Source organism: Homo sapiens, chromosome 5 (assembly GCF_000001405.40).
Source record: "Homo sapiens chromosome 5, GRCh38.p14 Primary Assembly".
NCBI classification, from domain to species: Eukaryota; Metazoa; Chordata; class Mammalia; order Primates; family Hominidae; genus Homo; species Homo sapiens.
In genome coordinates, this window is record NC_000005.10 from 128,241,299 (window position 1) to 128,252,433 (window position 11,135).

Below are 11,135 nucleotides of genomic sequence, written 5' to 3' on the forward strand. Positions count from 1 at the left end.
GGTAACACTCTATTCTAGTTCATCTCTGTAAATTGGTGGACTTTGAGATTCATTCTTTGGAGAGAAATGAAAATTCTAGAACTAGAGTATTTAAGAAGAAACATGATCTTTGTTTGTGGACTGCTTCTTCTTCCAAGTAGCTGAAGATTGAAACAGATCCAATTGTGAAAAGGAACATTGACTTCCTCACCAGCTGTAAAATGATCTATCACAGTCAGGTTTCTTTGAGGGTTGCTTACTATTTTTCCTTATGTCTGACTACCAAGCCAAATTCCAGGAGGGTTATTATGTTATTGAAGACCAGTTGCCCAGTGACTCAGTTGGCTTCTCTGGGCATCAGGGCTGCTGAAAAGAGCTCTTCCTCTACATATCTAGAATAAATGTATTTTTATTTTTTAAAATTCGCCATATAAAAATGGTAGGATTTGGATCAGCGAAGAGTAGGTTGAACCATGGGCACAAAAGGGATGCTGGAGATTTGGGGGAAAACTGCTTCCCATGCCTCCCCCTGAGAAGTAGGGCAAACCTTTGGAGTAGCTCACAGAGAGCTTCTGGAGAAATGAGAAGGCCTCTTTGAGCTTTAATAGGTTTGAATGCTAAAGGGCAAGAAGTAAATGATGGTGAATACAATTTGAGAAGTGACAGTGGCTTTATCCAAGGCATTAGCAGTGGAAGGGATGAGAAGTCGTCACTTGCTCATACCTAATGAAGGCAGTGCCTATAGGATTTTAAGTAAAGTGTGACAGGAGAGGGTCAGAATACTTCAATTAACTTTTATAGGGAAAAGCAATGGTAGTGATTTGGGAGGTGTCTATTCTTCCCTTCTAAGATCACGACCAACAGTGAGGCTTAGGGGGCACATACTGCTTAATATATTGCCATTAAAAAAAGTGTGGCTGGGCGCAGTGGCTCAAGCCTGTAATCCCAGCACTTTGGGAGGCTGAGGCGGGCAGATCACTTGAGGTCAGGAGTTCAAGACCAGCCTGGGCAACATGGTGAAACACTGTCTCTACAAAAAATACAACAATTAGCTGGGCATTGTGGCATGCCCCTGTAGTCCCAGCTACTCGGGAGGCTGAGGTAGGAAGATCACTTAAGCCTGGGAGGTTGAGGCTGCAGTGAGCTGTGATTGTGCCACCGAATTCCAGCTTAGTCAACAGAGCAAGAACCTGTCTCAAACAAACAAACAAACAAACAAAGAAAATAAAAAGAAAGAAAAGTGCTATATTAACTTTAAGAGAGCTATGTCATAGAAGAAAAGATGAAGGAAATACATGAAAATAGTAATTATGGATTTATCTGCATGATTGGGATTATAGGTGCTGTGTCCCAATATTTTATTATAAAAATTTTTTAATGTACAGAAAATTTAAAATAATTTTACAGTAAACATCTATACACCCACTATCTAAATTTTACCATAGGCATTTATTATACTTGCTTTATCACATATTTATCAATCTATCCATCCTATATTCACCCATTAAGCTATCTTATATTTTTAAAAAATACTGCATTGAAAGGATATAGGATAGTTTATAGATACCAGAAAGGATGGGGAGACCAGCTTAGAAAATCAACAGGAAAAAGAAGGCTAAGAAGTAAGAATTGCAGGCCAAATCATGCCACAAAACCACTGTGATGAGGATCTCCCACCCTCCGCCAAATATCAGAACATTGAAGCTTACACAAGGGTCACTGCTGCTCCAGGAACTTGTTGTTGCAGCCACAAAGAGAATGGGTTCCCCACTGTTTGGTGGGTGCAGCTGACTGGCTGAGTTGTTGTCTGTTTGAATATCAGTCCTTTTCAGTAGAGGGTGATATTCTTTGCCTTCCACTCAGATATATGTGGTAGGGAATTGCCCAATCAAGATGCAGAGCAGCCAAAGCTATTCTACAAATGTCCACTAAAAACAATGAACGGGGCCAGGCGTGGTGGCTCACACCTGTAATCTCAGCACTTTAGGTGGCCAAGGAGGGTGGATCTCCTGAGGTCAGGAGTTCGAGACCAGGCTGCCCAACATGGTAAACCCCATCTCTACTAAAAATACAAAAAATTAGCCAGGCATGGTGGCGGGGTGCCTGTAATCCCAGCTATTCGGGAGGCTGAGGCAGGAGAATCGATTGAGCCTGGGAGGCGGAAGTTGCAGTGCGCCGAGATCACACCACTGCACTCCAGCCTGGGTGACAAGAGTGAAACTCCATCTCAAAAAAATAAAAATAAAAATAAAAATAAAAAACAATGCGAGGAAGTATGGATGGTTGGATGGGTTGGTAGTCAGTTGGGTAGTTGGATGGATGAGTGGATAGATGGATGATGGATGGATAGACAGACGGGTAGGTGGGTAGATGGATGGATGAATGGGTGAATGAATGATGGATGGATGGGTGGGTGGGTGGTGGATGGGTGAATGGGTGGGTGAGTAAGTAGATGGATGATGGATGGATGGCTGGATGGGTGGATTGGTGGGTGGAAGGATAGATGGGTGGGTGGGTGGATAGGTCGATGAAGAAACTGAGGCTCTGTGACTGATCAAAGTCCACACAGCTGAGAGATAGCAGAGCTCTACTACTTCTGAGCCAGGGCTCTTTCCTCTGCCCCACACTGATGCAGCCAAGATCCATCGTTTTCAAATGTTTAATCTTCTGTGTTGCCTTTGGAGACACTGCCTTTGCTGAGGTGTGTTACGAGATATGGTCGTTTTAAAACATGGCTAAAATTTCTATGGCACCCCTGTTAAAAGATGTAGCCTATGTTCCTTCCCCTTGAGCCTGAGTAGAACTTTGTGACAACCACCATAAATAGAATGCAACACACATGCTACTACAAGACTTCCAGTGACGTTAGAAAAGGCCAGGGTCATTTAAAAAATGCATTTCAAAGTAAATTGTAGACTTCAATATACTTCCTCCTAAACACTTCAACATTTATTTACAGTTTCTTAAGTGTAAAATGTACATACAATGAAATGCCTAAATCTTAAATGTGCATTTACTGAGTTTTGACAAATTTATGCACCCATTTAAACCCATTTAAACTCTATGGAAATATTGAACTTTGGCATTGAAGAGAGTAAAAAAACTCCCTATGTCCCTTCCTAGTCAACCTCTCCCTCCAACCTTGAAATAACTAGTGTTCTAATTTCTTTCCCCACTATAGATTAGTTTTGCTTGTTCTAGAATGTCTATAAATGAAGTCATACTGTGAGTGTTCTTTTATGTAAGGCTCTTTAAGTCAGCATCATATTTTTGAGATACATCCATGTTGTGTTTATCAGTAGTATGCAACTTTTTATTGCTGTGTACAATTCTATTATATGAATATGCCAATTTATTCATCCATTCACTTATTGATGAATATCTTGGATTTTTCCAGTTTAGGGCTATGATGAATAAAGTTTCAATGAACATTCTTGTACAAGTTTTTTTTGTGGACATGTTTTCATTTTTCTTGGGTAAACATAGGAATGGAATTAGTGGGTCATAGGCTAGGTATATATCTAGTTTTATAAGAAAGGGCCAAACCTTTTCCAAAGTGCTATTAACATTTTATATTCCAGTCAACAATACATGAGTCTTACTGTTCTATATTCTTTCCAACATTTAGTGTTGTCAGTGTTTTGAATTTTAGTCATTCAGGTTGGTGTGTCATTATACGGTAATTTTAATTTGCATTTCACTTATGGCTAATTATGTTGAACACTTTTTCATGTGCTTATTGGCCATTTGCATATTTTCATTTGTGAAGTGTCTGTTCAAATCTTTTGTTCATTTATAAAATTGGGTTATTGTTTTATTGTTGAGTTGAAGGAGTTCTTTATGCATCCCAGGCAATAAACCTTGTCAGATAAATGTCTTGTGAATATTTTCTCACTCCAGGCTGTGGTGTGCCCATTCATTTTCCTAATAATATCTTTTGGTGAACAGAAATTATCATTTTTGGCAGTGTAATTTATTTTTTCTTTTATGATTTTGCTTTATTGTTTTAGCTTTTATGTTTAGATCTATGATTCATTTGAAGTTAATTTTTGTGTATGGTGAGAAAAGGGTCAATGTTCATATTTTAAATATGAATATCTGGTTATTTCAGCACTATTTGCTGAAAAGACTCTCTTTTTCTCATTATATATATACATATTTGCAGTGGCTTGATCTTGGTTCATTGTAACCTCCACCTCCTGGGTTTAAGTTATTCTCTTGCCTCAGCCTCCCAAGTAGCTGGGATTACAGGAGCCCACTACCGCACCTGGCTAATTTTCATATTTTTAGTAGAAACGGGGTTTCACCATGTTGACCAGGCTGGTCTTGAACTCCTGGCCTCAAGTGATTCACCTGCTTCGGTCTCCCAAAGTGCTAGGATTACAGGCATGAGCCTCCACGCCTGGCCTCATAATAATTCTTTATAAAAACTCTGAGTATTTATGTATTGTTTTTCTATTGCTGCCATACAAATTACCACAATCTCAGTGGCTTAAACAACACTAATTTATCTTACACTTCTGCAACTCAAAAGTCTGACATGAGTGTCACTGGACTAAATCAAGGTGTTGGCAGGGCTGTGTTCTTTTCTTGGCCTTCTAGTAGAGAATGCGTTTCTTTGCATTTTCCAGCTGCTAGAGGCCACTCACATTCCTCGGCTCACGGCCCCTTTTGTTGGTTGAATTGTTTCTCCCAAAAATATATGTTGAAGTCCTAATCCTTGGTATCTGTGAAAGCGACCTTATTTGGAAACAAAGTCTTTGTAGATGTAATGAAGGCGTAAACTAAGATGAAGTTGTATTATAGTGGAGTGGACCCTTAATCTGAAATGACTGGTGTCCTCCTAAGAAGAGAAGTACAGAGACAGATATACAAAGGAAGGGTGTCACATGACCAGGAAGTCTAAAGCGCTGGAAGCAGCAGGCCAACGAATGCTAAGGATTTCTGGCAAACCACCAGAGGCCAGGAGGGGGCAAGGGAAGATTCTCCCCTACAGATTTTGGAGTGAGCATCACCCCACTGACATCCTGATTTTGGACTTCAGGACTTCAGAAGTGTGAGACAATCAATTTCCATTATGTTAAGTCACATAGTCTATGATGTTTTGTTAGAGCAGCCACAGGAGACTAATCAGTCGCCTTTCTCCATCTTCAAAGCAAGTAACGATGGGTTGAGTCCTTTTCACATTGCATCTCTCTAATTCTTTTTCTGTCCTCACATCTCTCTTTCCATAGCCAGGAAACGTTCTCTGCTTTTTTTTTTTTTTTTTTTTTGGTGGAGTCTCTCTCTGTCGCCCAGGCTGGAGTGCAGTGGCGTGATCTCGGCTCACTGCAAGCTCCACCTCCCGGGTTCACGCCATTCTCCTGCCTCAGCCTCCCTAGTAGCTGGGACTACAGGCATCCGCCACTCCACCTGGCTAATTTTTTGTATTTTTAGTAGAGACGGGGTTTCACCGTGTTAGCCAGGATGGTCTCGATCTCCTGACCTTGTGATCCGCCCGCCTCAGCCTCCCAAAGTGCTAGGATTACAAGCATGAGCCACCGCGCCCGGCTGGTGCTCTGCTTTTAAGGACTCTTGTGATTCCATTGGGCCCATCTGGATAATACAGGATAATATCCTCATTTCAACATCCATGATCATAAAATCCTTAATCACATCTTCAAAGTACATTTTGTCATGTAAGGAAAAATATTCATAGTTTCTGGAGATTTTGATGTGGACATTTTAGAGAGATGGCTGTTAGTTTGCCTATCACAACTTATTTTTTCCCGAATCTACATTGAATTTTTTTGGTCATTTTTATATTAAAAAATGAACAGCAAATGTTATTTTAAAAATCAAAGATTCTCAGATTGGTTAAAGAAATAAGCCAAAAAACCTTCTTCTCATTAAACATATGAAATAACATTAATAACCTCCAACCATGAAATTAGTTTCTTTGTTGAATTGTTAGTGTATATGAACATTAAGTTTAATTGTTGTTCTTTGGTTTACCTGTTAATGCATATAAATGTTAAGTTTATGATACTGTATTTGATCAAGCATATATTACAAGATGTTGCTTTATGTGTTAATTTTACAAGTTCCTTATTTTATGGGGTTTTCACTCAATAACTTCATTGTGAATCAAATAAAGTCTTGGAGAAGATACTTTATCCTGAGATGACCTCAATTAATACTAACTTTGAATGTTAAAGGTCTCATCTATTTTTGTTTTAAAGCAAAGAAATTTACTTCTGATTTAGTAATTATTCCCACAGCACAATATCAAAATTGCAAGTCTCAGATCATCTTTTATAGAAGCTTTTTAATGATCATTTTAAAAAGCCAATATGGCGAGTGGTTTCTTTGTGAAGATCTTGAATCTATAAGATAAATGAGAATAATCAACTGTCCTAATGCTACGCAAATGAGCACTTGTAGCTTGGAAAAAGATTGCAGTACAGCTTCACTAAAAAAGTGCTGTATATCAAGCGATTTAGCAAACAGTGGAAATAGCATGTTTGGAAATCTGTGTTAAATGGTTTAAAAAGTGCAGAACATACATCAGTCAAAGATGCATGCAAAGAATTTAAATAAAATTGGCTTATAAAATATGAATATAGAAAAATAAAACATTTTAAATCATTTTAGATATGATGTAATTTCCAAATAGGTATGGAATTACATTGATACATGGAAAGTAAAAAGTTATTTTATACAATTTATAATATTTATCGTTTTAATTTGGCCCCAAACTCACTTTCTTTCTCTTTTTAATAGTCTCAATTGGGAAAATACTTGAGGTTGTCTCATATTCCGGTATATATGTTATATGAGGAGGCATGACTTGTTTTAGGGCTTGTAAGGTAGCAGCAGCTAACAGATGGAATCAGGACTGGGCTAAGGGAAACATCTCCTCATCCTGGCTTTCTCTGATCAAAGTGTGTTTTCATTTCCCTCTTTCAAAGACTGAGTGGGCGATTAGATTCCTCACAGCCTCTGTGGTCCCACAGATAGACTGTATAGAAATGCCTGCTATTAGAAGGACCCTGAGGGACCTTCACAATGTCACTGGCTATCCCTTCATCAGCCCTCGAAAGAGATTTGAAGGAAGTGAGGGAAGTGGATGTTTGTAGTTTATGGACAGGATCTATGCTATAAAACAGAATTGCTTTTATTACCAACAGCAAAAAGTAACTTGTATAAACTTTTGGGGATATGGTTGATATCTTTCCTCTATTTTGTTTTTGCTGTAAAACAAATACGAGGACAAAGTTAGACACATAAAGTAGATAGAAACAAATTTAAAACAGACACCGGAAAGCATTTTTTCCCTACTCTGAAAACCATTCGTGTGTAGTGTGGCCAAGGAGACAAGGGTGAAGAATTAAACCGCCAGGTTGCTGGAGAAGGTTAGCTGACAGAACTGGCATTTGGAGAAGCTGGCTCTTTAAGATGCGAATTGGTTTTCCTAGGCCAAATGCATTTATTCTTCCAAAAATGTCTTGTGTAATTATTTATTCCACATAAAGCTTCACATGCATGTACTCAATCAGCCCATGGAATGGTTTAGCAGGGTATTGCAGGAAGAGCAAAGGATGATAGCATGGAAAGAAATCCAACTAATTCAAGTGGCTGACATAAAGCTACAGCATTTGATTTATTTTTCTCCTACTTAGCTGGGCTATTTTGACCCTTCTTGGGACTGTTGGGCGTAATCCTTGGGGCTAATGAGTGGTTCCTCTCTCGGCTGTTTTCCTAGGTCCTTTGTGAAATGTAAAGAGCAAGCTCCCTGGCAGAACAGACCACCTTTCTCCAGCATGTGCTCCAGAAACAAGAGGCCAGGCTATGGTTTACCTCTCCTGGGACCAAGTCCAGCGCAGCCTTTCCTAACTCCATCCTTCCCAAACTAGAGTTGGGGAGGATGCAAGAAATAATAAATAAAGGTGACAAAATTCTTGTGAACTGCAGAACGATCCTGGCTTAGTTATTCACCGTAATAGGGGACACAGGAGACGGGACTGGGGAAAATTCAGGGCTCCTTCGTGACATCAATAGAGAAGCTATCAGTCTGTTGTATGACGCTATATTCTAGGCCCCATGTTGGGAGGGTGGGCGTATTCTATATTTCTTGTTTTTTTGTTTTTGTTTTGTTTTTGTTTTTGTTTTGTTTTGTTTTGGGTTTTTTTGTTTTTTTTAGATGGAGTTTCACTCCTGTTGCCCAAGCTGGAGTGCAATGGCGTGATCTCGGCTCACCACAACCTCCGCCTCCTAGGTTCAAGCAATTCTCCTGCCTTAGCCTCCTGAGTAGCTGGATTACAGGCATGCACCACCATGCCAGGCTAATTCTGTATTTTTAGAAGAAACAGGGTTTCTCCATGTGGCCCAGGCTGGTCTCGAACTCCTGACAGCAGGTAATCCGCCCTTCTTGGCCTCCCAAAGTGCTGGGATTACAGGCGTGAGCCACTGCACCCCGCCAGAGTATCCTGTATTTCTAAACCTCAAAACAATCCTAATGTAGGATAGATATTGTTTAGAGTTTTTTGGATGTAAGCAACAACTTATTTTGACAATAAAAGTAATTGATTCCAAGGATGTGGGATAGCTCAGATAATTTTGTAAAAACTGAAAAATCAGGCTTAGAAAGAAGATGGAATGGGTCAGCTTCTGGGGTCTAGATTGCAAGAACTGACTCATAGTTTGATTAGGGTGCTGCTTGGATGAATGCAAGATCTGTTATCTGCTCTTGTATTATTCTGCTCAAAATTCAAATTTCAGGGATACAGAAATCCAACCCAGGAGAGCAGAAACTCTTAAGTCCTAGTATGACTTTATGTAATGGTGGTGAGTAATTACCCAAAACAAAACTGGTGGTATGTTGTTAAAAAAAAAATACTTAAAATCGAACATAACTTGACTAATACCACACAGCAATTGAGTGGCATCCAGGATAGAAACCCTATTGTTTCTTTGCCCCAAAGGCTACACTTTTTCCCTCCTTTCCCATGCTACCCCTCATGTTAATTTATGGGCAAGAATCATGTACACTGTTCTGTCATTGCTCGCAACAAAGTGACTAAAGTGAAGGAAGAGATGAAGATTGGGGGGGCGTGAGAAATAGATATGGTTGGGAAAGGAGATTTCATTTTACTAGCAAAAAATTTTCAAGATGCTTTCCCCAAATGCCTTCTTATGTGGTTTGGATCTGTGTCCCCACCCAAATCTCATGTTGAAACGTAATCCCCAATGCTGGAGGTGGGGCCTGGTGGGAGGTGACTGGATCATGGGGATGGTTTCTAATGGTTTAGCACCATCCCCCTCCTGCCGTTCTTGTGATAGAGTTCTCAGTAGATATGCTTATTTAAAAGTGTGTGGCCTGGCCAACGTGGTGAAACCCCATTTCTACTAAAAATACAAAAATTGGCCTTTTGCAGTGGCACATGCCTGTAATCCCAGCTACTCGGGAGGCTTAGGCAGGAGGATCACTTGAACCTGGGAGGCGGAGGTTGTGGTGAGCCGAGATCACATCACTGTGCTCTGGTCTGGGCAACAGAGTGAGACTCTGTCTCGAAAAAAAAGAAAAAAAATAGGTGTGGCACCTCCCCTCCTCTCTCTCTTCCTCCTGCTCTGCTCCGGCCATGTAACACATGCTTGCTATCCCTTCAGCCATGATTGAAAGTTTCCTGAGGCCTCCCCAGAAGCCACTATGCTTCCTATACAGCCTGCAGAACCATAAACCAATTAAATGTCTTTTCTTTATAAATTACTCAGTCTCAGGTATTTCTTTATAGCAATACAAGAACAGACTAATACCTTTCTATCTAGGCATCCTTGACATCACCACTGTCTTCTGATTTTACTACTACTTCTTTACTTTCTCTCTCTCTCAGAAGTTGTGACAAATCTCCTTTTGTATTTCTAGATGTGGGAAGTTGCCAGGCCTTGGTTCTAGATCGTCTTTTCTTAATCAATTCTCAGCCATACACCAATGATTCGTCATTAGCTACGGACTACAGGATAAAGTCTAAATGGCTTAGGATGTCCTTCAGTGTCCTTCATACCTGGGCCTTACCCTTCCTAATCATCTTTTTCCTTCATGGTACCATCAGTTAAGGCCCATGGGTTTTGTTTTGTTTTTTGAGATAGGGTCTGGCTCTGTTGTCCAGGCTGGAGTGCGGTGGTACCATCTTGGCTCACTGCAACCTCTGCCTCCCAGGTTCAAGTGATTCTCCTGCCTCAGCCTCCTGAGTAGCTGGGATTACAGGCGTGTGCCACCACGCCTGGCTAATTTTTATGCTTTTATTAGAGATGGGTTTTGCTATGTTGGCTGGGCTAGTCTGGAGCTCCTAGTCTCAAGTGATCCACCCGCCTTGGTGTCCCAAATTGCTGGGATTACAGGTGTGAGCCACTGCACCCGGCAGACCCATGGATTTAACTCTTCTTTGTGTTCCAATATACCATTCACATTATGACTTACAACATTTTGTTCATGCTATTCTATCTTTTGGGAAATTCCTTCTTACTCTTTGCCACGTATCCCAAACTGTCTCATTCTACAAGATCCAGCTCAAGTCCCAGCATTTCCAGGAAATCTCCCACAAGTCTGCATTTCACTGACCACTCCTTTTCCAAGAGTCTGGGCCATTTGTCTGAGACATCCACTATGGCCCTTAAGCACACACCATCTTATAACATGTGGTTATCTTGTTTCTTTGTGGCTGTCTTGCTTGTTTCTTTGAATTATTTGTAAGGTTTTGGAGGGAAAATCATTTTAGGTCTGTGTAATACCCAACAGATGCTCATTTAATCAAGTTGTTCCAGAAATAAGAACTGTGTAATGTCTCTTCGAAGAAAAATTACTGTACCAGTTCCCAAACCCAGACTTCTACAGAAGCAGCATGAACCTCAGTCCAGGTTTGGATCAAGGATATCCTAATGGGACAAGTCAAGATTGCAGCCAGCTTGCCTCAACAGCTTCTTCAATCTGCTCTCACCCTGGGGGAGACCTAAGGGGCTCTCTAGAAAAGTGGAGAAAAGCAGAATAAATCAAGAAAGTCCTCCTAGAAGACGGGAAGATACCTCCATGATGATCTCCAGAAACCTGTTCTGAGGGTTTCCAGTAAAATCATGACTATGATACCACCCACTCCTTGGACAAGGTCCAATTTCCTGTG